Source organism: Homo sapiens, chromosome 6 (genome assembly GCF_000001405.40).
Source record: "Homo sapiens chromosome 6, GRCh38.p14 Primary Assembly".
NCBI classification, from domain to species: Eukaryota; Metazoa; Chordata; class Mammalia; order Primates; family Hominidae; genus Homo; species Homo sapiens.
In genome coordinates, this window is record NC_000006.12 from 132921729 (window position 1) to 132941302 (window position 19574).

Consider the following 19574-nt stretch of genomic DNA (forward strand, 5'->3'; position numbering starts at 1 on the left):
TTACAGGTGTGAGCCAGTATGCCCAGCCCTTATTCATTCTTTCTATTTTCTTTTTTGTACCCATTAAGCATCCCCACCTCCCTGCCGGCCCTTCATTACCCTTCCTAGACTCTGGTAACCATCCTTCTACTCCTCTATGTTCATGAGTTCAGTTGTTTTGATTTTTGGATCCCACAAATAAGTGAGAACATGTGATGTTTGTCTTTCTGTGCCTGGCTTATTATCCTTAACATAATGATCTCCAGGACCATTGCAAATGACTGCATTTCATTCTCTTTTTATGGCTGAATAGTACTCCATTGTGTATAGGGATTACATTTTCTTTATCCATTCATCTGTTGATGGACACTTAGGTTGCTTCCAAATCTTAGCTATTGCAAACAGTGCACGACAAACATAGGAGTGCAGATATCTCTTCCATATCCTGATTTCCTTTTTTTGGGGTATACAACCAGCAGTGGGATTGCTGGATCATATGATAGCTCAATCTTTAGTTTTTTGAGGAACCTCCAAATTGTTCTCCATTGTGGTTGTACTAATTTACATTCCCACCAACAGTGTATGAGGGTTCCCTTTTCTCCACATCCTTGCTAGCATTTGTTGTTCCCTGTCTTTTGGATATAAGCTGAACCTTAGTTTTTAATCTCTAAAATAGAACTAAGAGTGTTTAGGTAAATACAAAAATTCGATATGTGTCTAAAATAAAGATACCTAGCAGAGAATATGCAAAAAATTAAAGTTTTGCCTCCTCTTATATAAGAAATATAATTAACACTTACTAAATTTGATAGTAGAGGTGAATGTAAATTGATTCCATAAAATAACCTTTACAAACATAATATAACCAACCAGTAAAATTGGCTTTGAGGAGACATTTGGCTTCTAATTCAGAGAATACTTCATCTTCGTATTTTCTCCAGTATTTTTGGAATGTATGTTCAGCGGGCAATAAACAAACAGAAATTTCAAATCATCTTCGTCTTGGTTTGGAAGAAGTAGAAATAGTATAACTATTGGCCACTGAGTTGCTGTGGGTTTCCCAGGAGACGAGATGTGCTGGGCGTGGACCCTTAGATTGTGGAGGGGCAAAATTACAGGGCTCAGAAGAAAATATTATTCTACATGGCCCAACAAGGCATGTTATCAGATACTTAGTACTGGCTGCTTACCTGGGCAGCACCCCAAAAGGGAGAAGAGTATGGGATAGAGGAAATAATTATCTGGAGGCTGTTATTCAACACTTAAGATCCATGTGAGGGAGCTACAGTACAATGTTTCTTTTACTTCAGTCTGTATTAAAATGTCCACTTCATCTGTTTTTGGGAATATGTTGCTTGATTCAAATAACTACTTTTAATTTTTAAAGTAAACAAAATTAGAATAATAGGAACAACATTAGTTTTAGCAAACAGAAAAGGGTTATCGCTGTTCTTTTTAGCATCAGTCACCTCTTGCTGAGTCTGCCAGAGGCAAAAAAGGATCTCCACCTACCCAGCATGCTTCCCTTTCTGGAGGGCCCTTGTCCTGTGGTAAGCAAGTGAAGCATCAACACATATAGAGGGCCTACTAGCTGCTGTCAAGTGATGTCTGGCTTAGAGATGACAAATAAAATACGTGGCAACAATAGAGAACTTTGCTTTCATAACTGAAAACCTGAGAAAGTTTTGCTGTGTGGATTCACCAATTTGCTTTTCCACAAGGGTTTGCTATCCTGTTCGTCAGTCTGATTTTCGATTATTCTAAAATTCTACATAGAGTAGATGTCTGCCTTTCCTTACCAGGCGGCAGATTCTCCCTGGATCATTTACTGTTTAGAATTACAAAACAAATACAATGTTTATAATAAAACTTTACAAATGGTGAATTTTAAAAAATATTTTATGATCTCTTAATTACATACGGCAAAATGAAAGACATTGGGAAAAATAATTTTAACATAGTAATGACTCTTTGTGACTTTCTTTAAAATTGCCTTTTAAAATTATTGATTACATCAAGGGCAAATATAAACATTATCAATTGATCAGATTAACTTTTGTGGGTTTTCTTCTAAGAGTACCTTTCTTTTTTTCCTATCAGGCTTATTTATTGAATCACCAATCTAATTTGTAAATTGTTGTTATCCTTTAAAATTTTTACAGTTATGTTATTTGGTATTCATTGTATCTGCTGGGAGGATTTATCCAGAGGCATGGTTTTCTCTTCCCTTTTTTTAAATCAATATGGGATTTTAGTAACATCATGATCATCATATCACTCACTGGGAACCCATTGTGTGGCACTTTGTAGACATTCTTTTAATTGTCATAACAACCTTGCAGTGTCTACAGATGAGGCTCAGGAAGTTAAATAAAACTCTAAGAACTTGTACTCAGGGTTGTCTCCTTCAAAATTCTTTGCTGATCCTAATTCTGAAATGTGTGAAGTTGTCAAAATATGAAATATTGGCTACCCAAGCATGATAACAGTACATTTGTAAGCATTAATGTATCCAGTGAAGCAAATCCCTTGTCTTTAAAGGGCCCATGCTTGTTTTTCAGAAACTCTGAGGCCATAGGACTCTACCACACCATAAACTCTGTTGGTTTTTGCTCTGTTTTCAAAGCATCTAACTCTGCCAGAAAGTAGTTCAAGCATGTTGGAAGAATCAAGCTTCCTGAATTGGGCGATGCATAATTTGGTTTAAAACTGATATAACAATCGGAAATTCTACTTATCCACTGAATCATATTGATTACACGCCAACGTCTTGTTCTTTATCCTAACCGCACTCATTCTATTTTTTTTTCATCTACAGAATTCTCATAGCCTACAAAGCAAATTTCAAAACAGATATTTAAAGGGATGAAAGGGCTTAGATAACTTTATAAAAATTAGGCGAAATCAATTTCAAGGATAACTGTAGATATCTGGAATATGTAAGTAGCATCCAAGTTCTTGATTATAAAGACATGTTACTTGGTGCCTTCAAAACCAAAACAATGCTCCTCTTGGGATTTTCAAAAAAATACAGAAAGAGTAAACTCAGAGTAAAGATATAAGTAGAGATAGGGCCTAAAAATGGAAAGCAATTATGAAGAGAAAGTGAAAGACAAGGAGGAATGTTTAGAAAAATCAGATAACAGTGATCCAAAAGAGAGGACCCTTAGGATAGAGAAAGATACAAAGATAAATAGTGGTGGAAAATAATGAGGGCACAAGGTTATAATTCAAAGTAAATTTTCCAAATTGCATATCCTGTTTAAAATGTGTGTCTTAGAGTTTTACATGAATCTGGTGCAGTGGGAAAAAACACTGGACTGGGAATCCGAGGCCCTGGTTTGGGATCTGGCTAAACCATTCATCATCTATGTTTTCTTAAACAACCTATTCAGGGCCCTGGTTATTTTATATATATATATATATATATATATATATATATATATATATATCTCTCCAAGAGATGCTATTAAATGCCTTCCAGTGCTAAATAACTCAATTGAGCAAGGAGCAGAATTTAGAGTAATACCTTATTAAATGGCAAGACAATATTTTCTTGCCATTAACTGATATTGTACTGATGACAGCCTGCATAGGACCCAATACAGTCCCGAGAACCTGTTCATTCTTTCTTTTCTTTCTTTCTTTTTTTTTTGAGAAACATTAACTTTTATTAATTTATTCATCAAGTATTTTAGGATGGTTATATAGTTTGATAATATGCTGAATGATCGTTAAGGATATATCAAATTTTAGTAACAAATAAATTATTTAAAATTATTTGCCAGAATCTTAAAAATGACAAAAACTAAGAAAACTAAGTCACATTATTATGGTAAAATTCAAATGTTGAGGTATCCTAAAAGAGAACAGTAATAAAGTACTAACAGCAATTTTTATATGGCATTCAACGTAAATTACATTGAAGTCATTAACATAAAAGAGTTACACAGGTAAAACATTCAGATTCCTCACCAAAAATGTGTTAAGATTCTATTTACTCAGTCTAATACATCTTTAAGTGGAATTTTGGTGTTTTTTCTATGTGGACTCTGAACATTTTTATTAAGATTATTTTTTGCCAGGCATGGTGGCACACACCTGTAGTCCTAGCTACTTAGGGGGATGAAGTGGGAAGATCCCTTGAGCCCAGGAGATCAAGGCTGCAGTAAGCCGTGATTGTGCCACTGCACTCCTGCCTGGGCAACAAAGTGAGATTTGGTATCAAAAAAAAAAAAAGGACAATAATAACAATATTAGTGTTATCAAAGTAGTGTAGTGGTTAAACACGGGAACTCTACAACCAGCTACTTAAGTCAAAATCCTGACTTCACTACCTACTAGTTGTGTGATCTTGAGCAAGCTATCAACACACTCGGTGCCTCAGTTTCCTCACCTATAAAATGGGTATATGAGTACTCACCTCATATGACAACTTTAAGCATTAAATGAATAAGTACAATTCTTTTAATAGTAACTTTACCCTGTCACTGTTACAATCATATTTTGCTGACATTATGCAAACGTTCTCTTAGATTTTGTTGTATACAGTGCATATTTGATCTTTCTTACTAACTCGAAACTGACTATGCAAATAAAAGTTTGGTATTTTAAGGTCTAGTGCTGTCCTTGAGATCTAGATAAAATCGGTGTACAACTGGACACTGCTGTAATTTGGGCCTTCTGTATAATAGTTTAGTTTTTTGCTTAAAGTCTCCCTATAATTGCCAACTCAGTAAACCCTTTAATTTCAAATATACAATGATGCATAAAAGTATGGTGCCGTAGTCAGAATAAATTTTAAAATGATCTAATCAAATGGATGTTAGAAAAAAAATAAGGTGAGTTTGACATTGTAATGTCCATATAGGTTTTGAGGTAATACGGATCGTTCTTGAGGTAACATGGATCGTTCTTTTTTCTTCTGACAATAAAGAAAAATATGTTTTCACTTTTTTGTGTGTGCTTTTTAATGCACATAACCATCAGTGCCAGTGCACTTAAGTAATACAAAAAACAAGACCCTCCCCCTACCCCTCCCGCTCACACACACACACGCGCGCACACACGCACACCCCTGAGCATATCAGTGGAAGATACAGGCGTTTCTTATGTAGAGCATGATCATTGTAGCCTTGATTGATGAGTTGAGGGTCCTTATGTACTAAGGAAAGCTGGTGTTAAATATAGGCTCATGTTAGAGCTTGAGAAGCTGTTTTGAAGTGTAGAAGGGAGTGTAGAAGGGAATCAGTATTACTCTGAACAGAATTATACTTTGTCTCCTAGCTCCATATATTTTAGCTGTGTAATCTTGGGAAAGTTATTCAAACCCTCTGAAACACAGGATCCTATTTCATAATGTGAGTACAAATACTGTACCTATGTTATAAAATCATTGCAGTAATAAACAGAAGCACCTCCATGCTCTGCAAACTCTCAAAAAAGTAATGTTTATTCTATTTTGGGGGATGGGGTGGGGTATGAGGACTGTATTTATGTTAAATGAAAAGAAGGGAATATTCCAATGAATAAAAAAAAAGTACGTGTGAAACATTTAGAAAAATTATAGGAGAGGTTTTTGAACTCTAGAATAAAATGCTTAGAATATAGGAATTTCTAAGTAAACATCAAGTTATGAACAAATCAGTTCCTTTATCTTCATGAAGAAAAATGTAAATAATTCTTCAGAAAGCTTTTTTTTGATAATTATAAAATATTTACAGAAGTCAGGGAAAAAAATAACATCAACAGGTCTGAAGCAGATTTCTAGCAGAAGAAGAGCTAACAAAGGCTTGCCCTCTGTCTCTCAAAGAGGCTTAAAAACCAAAGTGGTCCCCTAGTGCAATGATGTCTACTTAAAGCTAGCTGTGTTTGACAAGTGTCTTAACTTAGAAAAATTTCTTTCTCATTGGTTTTCTCAGCCATCATTGTGTGGGCAGATATTTAAAGTATCTGATGTCAGCTAACCTTCAAAGAATCAATAACCAAAGTCAATCACACATATACAAAACCATTAGGAAGGGAAGGCAGGAGCCAGTGCAGTGAACAGCCTCATCTGTCAGATGCTTCATCTCTCAGTTGATGGTGTTCGCACCGGGGGGAAGGACCTGCGCCAGTGAGGACTCCTGTTCTCCATTCACTCCCATTCATTCACTCATGCCTCAGTAACTGTAGGACCCTGGGTTGGTGATTAAGACAGAACACGATTAATGACCTTCAAGTCACAGTGGGGAGCCTGGTCACTCATGGACTATAGAAGTGGGCAGAGAACAAGGGCACAGCCTGTTCCCCATGTACATGACATGTGGCTGTGGTCTGATTAAAAGCCCTTTTCACCATATCTCTCTGTTATGGGGATCTTTTTAATTTTTTTTCCTATTTACATAATATTTCCAGAGTCAAAGGGGGTCTCTTAAAAAGATCACATCTTTGTATTTTTACAACTCTTTAACATTATTTTATCAGACCTGAGGGTGTTGATGCATGCCTGTTTGTTTCTCATAAATTGATTAAGAAGTCACTGTGATGAATTCAAATGTAACATAATTAGAACTTTTTCATATAAAATTATTTTTCATATGGAAAATATAGATATGAGCAAAAATATCAGTCTCTTAAAAATGAGTTCCTTGAGTACCTTAAAATAGTAAAAAATATGAGAAGGTAGCAGAAATGTAAATTTTACACTTACTATCGGATATGCAAAATCATCCACCTCCTCAATTTGCTTCCAGCATCCTGATTACATTAATTTTGCTATCGAATATATGGCTATTTTTGAAGGACTAAAATTTATAAATATAAAATCTATATTTCTTCTATTTTATAAATCCTGTTTTCCTGAAAATGATTATTATTTTTGCCTTTCTCCACAATACAGATAGGCAATTAGGGAACATAGATAAGAAAAGAAGAGATAGTATGTTGCTTTATAAAGCCCTCATTTATTTGAAATCATTTAATGTACACCAGAAGCCTACATTATAAAGACCATTTATTTACTTTTTTTTTTTTTTGGAGATGGAGTCTCGCTCTGTGCAGTAGTGTGATCTCAGCTCACTGCAACCTCTGCCTCCTGGGTTCAAGTGATTCTCCTGCCTCAGCCTCCCGAGTAGCTGGGACTAAGGCGTGCACCACCATGCCTGGCTAATTTTTGTATTTTTAGTACAGACGGGGTTTCACCATGTTGACTAGGCTGGTCTCAAACTCCTGACCTCAGGTGTTCCACCCGCCTCAGCCTTCCAAAGTGCTGGGATTACAGGTGTGAGCCACCGTGTAAGGCTGATTTATTTACTTTATAAATAAAGAATACATGTAGATATATTGAGGAAACAGAAGAAAAAAGTTACAGCAGTTACCAGATTTCAGAACTGTCTTTTTCAGTGGTTTTAATAATACTTTTTCATATATTTCAAAAATGTGTAATATTATACTTTTTTATATTTCACTGAAGGGAATTGCCTTCAAGCAAATGCTTATAGATGCAACTGGAGTCAGCAGGAAACCTTCTATCGTATGTTGTCCTGCCACAGTAAAACATATTTGGTTATTTGGTTATTTTCCTAAACCACAGATAAATAATTCTTACAACATTCGTTTCTAACCACCATTTTACTGATGTGGACACAATGGAAACATTGTTCATTGAAATAAAATGCAAACTCTTGGACTTACACTCCAAATTTACTAGCTCTTTCTTTTTTAGACTAGAATAGTGGAGAGGAAAAGCCAGGAGCAAATGAGAGCACATCTCAGAGGGAACTCTGAGGACACGAGCTGTTCCAGACTCCTGAATGTCACCAGCTGCCCAGCCATGGGCTACGGCAGGGTTGCCTTCTCAAGGGCAAATATGCTGGGAGAGTCTTTATTTTCATGTTCCTTCTTCTCCTTTTTCTTTATAAGATATCTTTTGTTGTTGTTGTTGTTGCTGTTGTTTGTTTTCCAAGTTTCTATAAGTTACTGTTTTTTTGTTTGTTTGCTTTTTGAGACAGAGTCTAGCTCTGTCACCCAGGCTGGAGTGCAGTGACGCCATCTCAGCTCACTGCAACATCCGCCTCCCGGGTTCAAGTGATTCTCCTGCCTCAGCCTTCCCAGTAGCTGGGATTATAGGTGGCTGCCACCACACCCAGCTAATTTTTGTATTTTTAGTAGAGATGGGGTTTCGCCATGTTGGCCAGGTTGGTCTCGAACTTCTGGCTTCAAGTGATCCGCCCACCTCAGCCTTCCAAAATGCAGGGATTCCAGGTGTGAGCCAGTGCATTTGGCCAGTAAGCTACTATTTTGAGAGAAGGAATGGATGCCTGCCAGAGGAAGGATTCTGAAAGGTTTTTATGATAAGCATTGCTAACATTTATTGAATGCTAGGTGTCAGGCTCTTTATTGAACTCTTTATCTGTAAAAGCACTTGTACTCCCCTCTTTTGTTCAATGCCTTAGACAAAGAAGGAAGTTTTGTCAAAATTGCAAGTGATACAAAATGAGGAGTATTAGCTAATTTGTTGGGGGAGAATAATTCATTAAACTAACTTTATAAGCTAGAAAGAGTGGTTGAAACAAATAAACTGAAATTCAACAGGATAAACATAACTCTTACATTTAGGTTCGAATAATCTATTTCTTGTGTGGAGAATAGTGAATATTTGATTTGGTAGCATATGGAAGGTAAATTTACATATTTTAATGCTAGTTAATCTAACCCAAGAGTGTGGACCTACTGCTAAACACCTAACTCAGTTTTATTGTCTATTAGCTGAAATATAGTGTCCACATCAAGGAAATTATTAGTCTAACCTCATTTGCTGCTGGTCACACAGGAAGTGCTCTATTGAGTTCTGGGCACTACATTTTTAGGGAGAAGTTGACAGCAAACTGGAACATGTTCAAAGGAATAACGGTGAAGGGTCTGGAAACCATATCATATAAGGAATAACTGGGGGAATGTGTTCATTTAGCGAGAGAAAATGACAAGCTGTGTTAACAATTTCAAAGGCTGTTCGGTAGAAGAGGGGGTAGACTTTTCCGCAGAGTTACAGAACTAAAATGAATGGTGGAATCACAGAGTGGTAAGTTTAGGCTCCCAGAAGAAAATGCTTTTCTAACAATTACAGTTATTCGTGAACAGGCTGACTCAATAGTGGCAAGTTGCTGGCCACCAGGAGTGACCTGTGTACCCACCTGTCTGAGCAGCAGGAGGGAGGGTGGGGCTGCTGGCTCTTGGGAGTCTGAGACAGAATCTATGATGGTCCTTTCGTGTACTCCCTGTAAGAGGCATAGTCAGGATCTAGGGCAAAATTTTCTCTTTTAAATTTAAACTGAAGTCCATCTTCATATTCGCGATGACCCACTCAGGATTCTTTTATGCATTTAGAGAAAATGGCTCTCTCTCTCTCTCTCTCTCTCTCATACACACACACACACACACACACACACACACACACACACAGTGTATTTTATATCTTTCTTCCTTTTGCCATTTCTTAACTGGGATAAAAGAGGTCAAGATGGGTAGCCAAGTGGCAGTAAAATACATTTGAATCAAAGTCACATTCAGCAACCATAGCAGAAATATTTTCCCAAGGTTTATTTCTGATTCTAACTGCAATAGTTCATGATCTAGCTTGGCGTGTGTCAACCAGGTTGTCGCTTTGTACCTTGTGTGGGAAAAGATATACTGGAAACAGAGTAAGAGGTAAACACTAATAATGTTTGCCTTGATGGCAAAAATCGTGTTGCAAAGGTGTGTTGTGTTTTCTTGGGAATCGTAGGGTAGAAACATTACGTGAAAAGAACAGATTAAAAATTGCTGTTGTCAGCATCCATCTTTGTACAGTTTTCTAAAGCTTTTTCTGTATATGTATTAGTGACTATGGTATTCTTTATTGTAAATCCTTCACTCATGCTGATATCTAAAGATAGGTCCTACATTTATGAATTGAGAGATGGTGACAAGTCTTTCCTTTCCTTCCTCTTTTGCTTTTTCCCTTCCATCGTCTTCTTCCTCCTCCTCCTTTTCCTCCCTTCTCCAGCTCCCCCATCTGTTCTCTTCCTCCTCATTTTCTTCTTTTCTTTTCCTAACAAAGGGGCATGCCTTTTTTCTACCCTTGAAACCCCAGGGTACAGATTGAGAGTGCTTTTGGTTTCTTCCTGGCATTTCACCTTTTTCCTGTGCTTTGCTGTTTACTGACTCTACAACTTTGCAATGTCCTTTTGGTAAAGCAAACAGGACAGCCTAACCTGTGGAGAAATTATTAATAAAATTTCAAGAAGTCAACTCAGCATGGACTGAATAATGAAATTTGGAATGTTTTCCCTATTGTTGCCTGGATCCAGCCAGGCAGCTTTGGCCCGGGTGGCTCAGCCCAGCTTGCCCTGTGTGGTTTAAGGCCTTTAACTATGAGGCAGGTCATTAACCGGCTGGTGAAGCAACAGCACATTGTTCTGTTATTTTCAAACCACAACAGCCTCTGTGGAATCCAAGAGCCATAAAAATGTAGTTCTGATGCTGCCTGACAGAGGCATAATTCATGAACTCTATAATTTAAAGGGATTTCAATGCAATTGTAAAACTAATAAAAAATGAATTGCTTTTGGGGAACACTGGTACCTTATTTAATCAATTGATTCTACTAATTTAAAAATACAGTTGGCCTGGTAGCTGTGTGTGTGTGTGTGCGTGCATGTGTGCGTGTGTGTGTATGTGTGTGTGAAGATAAGTAAGATTAAATCTGATGCCAACAGTTAGTTTCACGTACATAACATTGCTTTTGGACCAAAAACAAAAAAAAAAAAAGAAAAAGAATCTCAGAACAATGTATGTCCTGTAGCCAGTAACAAAGTGTTTCTCTCTGTACCTTTTTATCATTTCCCCCCCAGAGGTTGATTATGCCCAAGTTAAAAAAAAAAAAGTTTTGGTAAGTTACTAGAAGGTTTAAATTTCAGTCTGGATTTTTTTTTTAAAGCCTCAAATGAAAGGCTTTCTTTAATCAGATAACTGACCAGCCAGTAATTTTAGCCCAACTATGACACACCAGTTGGCAGGTACAGAGGTGCGCAGCCCTAAGCCTTTGCCTCTGTCCCCGTTTCTCTGCCCGCTGGGACTGTCATTGAGCTTCCGTGTCTTACTGCTGGTCCCCAGAGACTGCCTCCAAACATCCTGAAGTTCAGAAAACGAGAGGCAGCTGTCAGAGGTGACCACGCAGAGGGCACAAGAGGGACTCCGTCCCTCCATCACCCCACCTGGGGAGAAAAAATAGGGCCGCCCCACACCGCAGCTGTCTCAGATCCAGAGCATCTACGTTTCAAATTGATCCCTGATTTCCTGAAACCTTGGCTCTGAAGTTGTTTAGGAGGCTTCGGTGGGGCTTTAAATACAAGCACATTAACTCGTCTATTTTAACTCCCCCATCATGAGTAATGGCAGCTCAAAAATGCCCTCTATGATGTCACGTCACAAAAGGCTCAGAAAATTATCCCTTTCCCCTATTGTCTGTCTGTTTTCTTTTGTTCCTTCTCTACTCACCACGTTCACTGGCAGCCATGAATAAAATGTAACATGCTAAATGACTGACATCCATTAAAGCCCCTCGACAAACCTTGGGCCGTGTTTTGAAAGGGCCCTGGAAGAAAAAGGATTGTGTGCTCTTTGAATCTTGGTCTGCTGAACGCCTGCCAAGTGAAGGCTGCTCCATTCAAAGGGCTGAGTGAATAAATGAGAATAACATCCTTGGGGACCCACGGGATCAGTTTACTCCGAAAATGCTCAGCTTCACAAAGGGTCAGAGTCACAAGGTAAATGAAAATGGCTAGAAGAGGACTTTGATGGCCGAAACACTGTAACAGTAGAGGACTTGAAAGAAAACTTTATTTAAAAAAAATAAAAAAGAGGAAAAAGAGAAAAGCGGGGGCAGGGGAATCTCAGAAAGGGAAAATCGGTTTATAAGAACAAAATGCTTTGACAGCGACATCAGTGAATATTTGTTTATAAATTATACACAGGTAGTATATACATAAATGTATGTGCTTGTGAAAATGTATAAACTTTTCATCCACATCTGTAAAAACCATGAACTAATTTTACTTTACACATGAATAAAAACTGGGTCAAGCCTGTTAGCTCATTTTCTTGGTGGGCTACAAGTACTCTAATTGTCATCTTAGTTGCAAGTGATAAAATCTGCAGTCCCATCAAAGATGCCATTTCTTTGGATCACTCCTTGTTTGTTTGTTTTTTTCCACACACCATTTCTCAGTCAGAATGATTTCTATTTAACCACTTTAATGGAGGTGAATTAGAAGCAGTTTTTAGGCAAGGAAATCAGAAAAACCACAAGAATTCTTGACATGTTTCCACAGAGACCCCTGCATGGTGCCTGACACAGGTCACTCATACCAGACCCTCGGGCCCCTGGCCCTTTCAGCTAATTTTTAGGTGTATAGACTGTGGTAGTTTAAAGAAATCCTGCGAATTAGTTATATCAGATTATCTCTTGTAAAGATGTAAGTGAAGTTTAGGTCTCTCCTTTAAAAAGAAACTCAGCTAATGATAATTATGACAGAGGTAGGAGCTAAAGTAGCTGAAGTAGAGGAAGGAGAATTGTGGCAAATGACGGCCTTGCCCCTGCAGGTCTGGTTTCTAGTAGAGGTGACATCAGACAAACTCAACCTTGAACGGTGGGGTGGGTGAAATGTGTCCCTCTCCCTTCCAAAGGTCTGTCCACCCAGAACCTGTGACTGCAAGCTTATTTGGAAAAAGGGTCTTTGCAGATGTAGTTAAATTAAGGAATCCAGGGTGAGCTCATCATGGATTAGGATGGGCTCTAAATCCAAGGACAGTGTCCTCTTTAAAGAAGAGAGGGGAGAAGACAGGGAAGAAGGGAATGTGAAGTCAGAGACAGAGATTGGAGGAGTGTGTTCCGAAGCCGAGGAATGCCAAGGGTTGTGGGCAACCACAAGAAGCCAGGAGACAGGCATGGATCAAGTTCTCCCTCCCAGCTTCAGAAGGAACCACCCTGCTGACACCTTGATTTAGGACTTCTGGTTTCCAGAACTGTAAGAGAATAAAGTTCTGTTGTTTTCAGCCACCAAGGTTGTAGCAGTGTGTTACTACTACTCCGGGAAATGAAGACTGATGACAGTGGCTGGGTGCTGTTGCAATCGTGGACTCATTCATTTTGGGCTTGCTGCTCTCCAGGAAGAGAGAAAAGAGTTCCTCCTGAGGCAGCTGATTGCATTACTGAGTGACAATGGCACATAGGCACACTCTGTCAGAGGTCTCCCTGGTGATCATTTTTCCTAAAAGACCTCTGTTTTTCAATCACTAAACATGCATATCTCCTCAGAACAACATTATTTAGCTGATGTTTGTAAAGGAAAAAAAAATATTCCCCCAAACTCATTGGTCTATGGGAAAAACTCATATTATATTCCAAATATCGTTGGTAACAGAATGGCATGTAAAAGGCTGCTGGTGTTAAGGCCATGGTACTCCACACAAAGCAACTGCATGTGTTGACTGCAATATTAATTCTTCAGTAATTAAAAATTGATGTTTTAAGCAGTTTATATTCTGATTTACTAGTTTGTTACTTACATAGAGGAGTCTTGTTACTTATATAGAGGAGTCTTATTGTGTTTTAATAATTTGGTTGGTGATTTGGGGTTAGTATATAGCACATTTTAACTTTTTCCACTACAAATAATGGGAAATTGACTTTCAGTTAATGTTTTCTCAAAGAATGTCTGTTTCTCAAGAATGTATTATGGAAGTTGTGCAGGAGAGGTCTGTATTTCCTTTTATTGGTATACATATGCGTATACATATTTTAAAAGACCATGTCCATACGCTTGGATGAAATCTTCTGTTAAAAGATGTGATTTAGACTGGGCATGGTGGCTCACACCTGTAATCTCAGCACTTTGTGAGGCCGAGGTGGGTGAATCACCAGGTCAGGAGTTTGAGACCAGCCTGAACAACATGGTGGAACCCCATCTCTACTAAAAACACAAAAAATTAGCTGGGCATAGTGGTGGGCCCCTGTAATCTCAGCTACCCAGGAGGCTGAGGCAGGAGAACCACTTGAACCTTGGTGGTGGAGGTTGCAGTGAGGCAAGATCATGCCACTGCACTCCAGCCCAGGTGACAGAGTGAGACTCTGTCTCAAAAAAAAAAAAAAAAAAAAAAGAAAAGATGTGATTTAGTATCTTTACCTATCTGAATTAGAAACATTAGGGAGTGGCCGATTTAATTTAGATTTAGGATACTTTAGTGTTTACAAGTTATAGTAGATTCTTCTTCAGTTTTCATATATGGTACTGGCTGAAACAAACTTTTGAATACTGGTCATTGCTTTAAAATAAAGGTTTTAGAACATAAAATGTTGAAATACACACTTATTATGCTTGAGTTTTCAGGATTTAGATTGCACAAAATACTTTCTGTTCAATTATTTAAAAATTTCAGGCCAGGTGCAGTGGCTTATGCCTGTAACCCCAGCACTTTGGGAGGCTGAGGTGGGCAGATCACTTGAGGTCAAGAGTTTGAGACCAGCCTGGCCAACATGGTGAAACCCCATCTCTACTAGAAATACAAAAATTAGCCAGGCATGGTGGTGCACATCTATAATCCCAGCTACTTGGGAGGTTGAGGTAAGAGAATCGCTTGAACCCGGGAGGTGGAAGTTGCAGTGGGCCCAGATTGTGCCACCGTACTCCAGCCTGGGTGACAGCGCAAAAAAAAAAAAAAAAAAAAAAAAAAAAAATTCAGGGAATACATTTGAGAAAAAGTTTCAAGTAAGTCTAGTTTTCAATAAAAAGGTTTTAGGTATCAGTGGCCTAAAAAAGTTATCTGTTTTCCTAGATGCTTCAATCATTCCCAAGGAGAAAGATACTGGAAAATGTGGTTTGAAGTGTAAATTTATAGAGCAGAGTCATAACCGACAGTTAATATGTAAGTACATATTTGACTGTTTAAAATACGTATGTGGGAAAAAAATCCTAGTTAAAAAGAGAAAAACATAAATTATCTGGAATAGATTTATCACAATTATGTGTTCTAAAAATCTTATCTTAAAAAAATGCCAAATAAGACTGACACATGGAATTCATTATATTCTAGCTAATGGTTTCAATCAAATTTATAACAGAGCTGAGTTGGCAGCAAGCATTCCTGGACCTGTCTCTCCAATCACAGAGTACCCAGGGACACAGGCATTTACACACGGAGTAAGTTCAGTGTCTGTACTACTAATGGCTAATGTCTCTGCCACCCACATTTTTTACTCTCAGGGACAAAATAAATTTTGTTTGTTTTGCCTCTGTGAAAGGCCAAAATAAACTTTATTGTAGGATAAACGTATTGAATTTTTGAGTTTAGCACTATGATAAGTTCATAGTAGAGTTGGATGGAATGGAGAACATTGTATTTCTTTTTTGTGGCATGATATGTTTTCAAAACTTAGCAGTTCACACATGGAGAAAATAAGAAAGAACGATTTCTTGGCCCTGGCAGTGCAAATTTGTTTGTTTATTTCTTTTTTCATGCATTCAAATATGATTCAAAGTTGACATTTATCTAGATTGTTTTAAAATCCGAATTTCTTTTGGAGTATTTTGTTAATTCTTCATACACAATTTATTTTGTTAACTTAAACAAATGAACTATCTTTTTTGTTTCCTTTGGGGTGTGGGGTGAAAAGAAGAAGTCTAGGTGTGAATGCTTTATTTTGTTTATTAACTACTTTTTACAAAGATGCCTTGAAAAGAATAGAGAGTTGGAAACTGATTGTAAGTAATGGCTTCAGTTGAAAGTGCTGAAGAAATTCTTTTCCTATGTGTGCAATTTTGACCTTCAGGGGGCGTCCAAGTGCAGCAAAGCTAAATAAGCTGGCATGCACCACCCTGTTTTCATGCTACCTGAGTAACCTTAGCTCAGAAAAATGTAGCAAAAGCCAAAGTAAGCACTCCTTCCTCATCTGTCACTGCATGGACGAGAGCTGAGGCAGCCATATTTAATCAGCACCAAAGTCTCCCCCTGGGTGATGTTCGTGCCCTTCTGTAATATTTTATTCTAAGCCATTTCCCAGACAGCATTATTGATTCATGTCATTATTCTCCCCCAAGCTCCGGGAGCTTGTGCAATGTGATACCAACTGCAGTTCTCTTCATGAACATAACCTCAGAACCGAAAGGTAAGGTGACTGCTTTTAACATTCAGAATTACCCAGATGGCATATTATGCAGTGTATCATAGGCATTTTAAACTCTTAAAATCAGACACCAATTGGTTATAATGCTTTTGCTAAAATAGGAAATTACCAAACAAAAATAATTTGGCATTTTTTTCTTATTTATGCATTTTTCCCCTTTAACTAGTAGATTTATGCTTGTAGTGAGAAGATACTGTACTTCAGGTATTTTGTGTGGGAGGTTTGGATGAGAAACTCCCCTCCCCTGGAAGACTCATTAAAAATAATAATACAAATTTATATTTATCTTGACTAGAGTTCTGAAATTATTTCCTTTCTCCTCTATCAGAGGTAAAGGAGGACAGTAGAATTTTCTTTTTTCCTAATGATAGAAAATAATTTGTGAGAGGAGACCCTGGTTGTTGAATGTATTAGTGAGTGAATGAATGAATGAAAAAAATACTATATTCATTATTGGGCCCAGAGATCTGTTTACTCTCAGAAAAATGGCCCATTGATTAGTTTTCTCAAATTTTAATTTGGAGTCCAGCAGCAACCTTAAAAAGTATGCAAACTCTTTTTTTTTTTGAGACGGAGTCTCGCTCTGTTACCCAGACTGGAGTGCCGTGGTACAATCTCGGCTCACTGCAAGCTCTGCCTCCTGGGTTCATGCCATTCTCCTGTCTCAGCCTCCCAAGTGGCAGGGGCTACAGGTGCCCACCACCACACCCGGCTAATTTTGTTTTTGTATTTTTAGTAGAGACGGGGTTTCACCATGTTAGCCAGGATGATCTCGATCTCCTGATCTCGTGATCTGCCCGCCTCGACCTCCCAAAGTGCTGGGATTACAGGAGTGAGCCACCATGCCTCGCCATATGCAAACTCTTATTTACCCCTTTAGACATAGTATCATAAAACATAACAAATGCTCTGCACAGCTTCCCTCCATCTACATCCTTGTGTACATATCTTTGGATAAAGGTCTGTAAAAGTACCACCTAGATCTTTGTAATTTTAGCACTAAGTTTCAATTTTATCTTGGGCCAGTGAAGTAATGAAAGTTGAAATGTCCACTCTCCTCCTCATCTTTTGCCTACTCCAGCAACGTGTTCCAATGCACTAACTGTGGTACTAAACCTGCATCTCTAGTAGCATGATTTATATAGTTTGGATGTCTGTTCCCTCCAAATCTCATGTTGAAATGTGATCTGCATTGTTGGAAGTGGGGCCTGGTGGGAGGTGTTTGGGTCATGGGAGCAGATCCCTCATGAATGGTTTGTGCCCTGCCTGCAGTAATTAGTGGTAGTGAGTTCATGTGAGATCTGGTTGTTTAAAAACAGTGTGGCACCTCTCCCCTCTCTTTCCTGCTCCCTCTCTCACCATGTAATATGCCTGCCTCACCTTCACTTTTCACCATAACTGGAAGCCTCCTTAGACTGTCACCAGGAGAAGATGCCAGTGCCATACTTCTCATACAATCTGCAGAACCATGAGCCAAAATAAACCTCTTTTCTTTATAAATTACCCAGTCTTAGGTATTCCTTTATAGCAATGCAGAATGAACTAATACAGAAAATCGATACCAAGGAGGAGATGTTGCTATAAAGATACTTGAAGATGTGGAAGCAGCTTTGGAACTAGGTAATGGGCAGAGGTTGAAAGAGTTTGGAAGGTTCAGAAGAAGACAGGAAAAAAGGGAAAAGTTTGGAACTTTTGAGAGACTGATTGAATGGCTGTGATTGAAATGCTGATAGTGATATGGACAGTAAAGGCCAGGCTGATGAAGTCTCAGATAGAAATGAGAAATATATTGGGAACTGGAGCAAAGGTCACCCTTGTTATGCTCTAGCAAAGAGCTTGACTGCCTTGTGTCCATGCCATAGGGCTTTGTGTAAGGTTAAACTTTAGAGTGATGACCTAGGATATCTGGCAGAAGAAATTTCTAAGCAGCAAAGCATTCAAGAAACAGCATGGCTGCTTCTAACAACGTAGAATCAGATATAGTAGCAAAGAAATGACAAAGTTGGAACTTATATTTAAAAGGAAAGTAAAGTGTAAAAAACTTGGAAAAGTCAAAAACTGGCCTTGTGGCAGAGAAGGAAAGACCATTATCAGGGAAAGAATCTAAGAGGGCTATGGAGGAACCACTTTCTAGAGAGATTAACATAACTAAAATTGCTAACATCCAAAACAATGGGAAAAGGGCCTTGAAGGCATCTCAGAAGGCTTGGAGACAGCCCCTTCCATCCCAGACCCAGAGGTCAAGGAGGAAAGAATGGTTTCAGGGGCCAGGCCCAGGACCCTGCTGCTGTGCTCAGTCTCTGGACACCGCTCCCCCAATCTTGGCCTCTCTGGCTCCAGTCTTGGCTCAAAGGGCCTCAGATGCAGCTCAGGCAGCCACTTCAGAGAGTGCAAACCATAAACCATGGCAGCTTCCATATGGTGTTAAGCTTGCTGGTATACAGAATGCAAGAATGAAGAAGGCTTGGCAGCTTCCACCAAGATTTCAGAGGATATATGGGAAAGCACAGATGTTCAGACAGAAGCCTGCTTCAGGGATAGATCCCATGCAGAGAGCCTCTATGAGGGAAGTGCTGAGAAGAAATGTAGGGTTGGAACCCTGACTCAGAGTCCTCACCAGGGCATGTTCTAGTGGATCTATGGGAATGGGGCTGCCATCCTCCAGACCCAAGAATTGTAGAGCAACCAGCAGCTTGTACCCTGAGCCTAGAAAAGCCACAGGCACTCAACTCCAACCCATGAGAACAGTTATGAGGGCTGTGCCCTGCAAAGAATCAAGAGCAGAGCTGCCCAAGGCCTTGGAAGCTCACCTCTTGCACCATTGTGTCCTGGATGTCGGACATGTATAGTCAAAGGAGATTACTTTGGAGCTTCAAGGTCTAACGTCTGCCCTGCTGAGTTTCAGACTTGTGTGGGCCCTGTGATCTCTTTCTTTTGGCCTGTTTCTCCCTTTTGCAACAAGAATGTTTATGCAATGCTTGTACCACCTTTGTATCTTGGAAGTAAATGACTTATTTTTTATTTTCCAGGCTTATAGGTGGAAGAAACATGTCTTGAGTCTCAGATAAGACTTGCGGCTTTGGACTTTGAGTTCACACTGGAACCAATTAAGACTTTGAGGAAGACTATTAGGAAGGGATGATTGTATTTTGCATTGCGAGAAGGACATGAGATTTGGGGGACCAGAGGCAGAATGATATACTTCGGATGTTTGTCTTCTCCAAATCTCATGTTGAAATGTGATCCCCAATGTTGGAAGTGAAGCCTGGTGGGAGGTGTTAGGGTCATGGGGGCAGATCTCTCATGAATGGCTTGGTGCCTACCCCACAATAATAAGTGGCAATGAGTTTACATGAGGTCTGGTTGTTTAAAAAGAGTGTGGCATCTCTCCCCT

The 19574-nt window shown here is 38.8% G+C and overlaps 1 long non-coding RNA gene across 2 annotated transcripts in view; it reads left to right on the forward strand.

The window, feature by feature from the left end:
- The window catches only part of LOC105378008 (uncharacterized), an 81586-nt gene that overhangs the window by 45129 nt on the left and 16883 nt on the right, over positions 1-19574 (forward strand). Inside the window, exons 5-8 of one of the 2 annotated variants that reach the window (XR_943001.2) lie at positions 14833-14922; positions 15091-15197; positions 16095-16162; positions 19210-19373. This is a non-coding gene — a long non-coding RNA (uncharacterized LOC105378008). Of the gene's footprint in view, positions 1-14832; positions 14923-15090; positions 15198-16094; positions 16163-19209; positions 19374-19574 lie in introns of those variants that run through there. The other variant, XR_001744346.1, reaches the window with a different exon arrangement.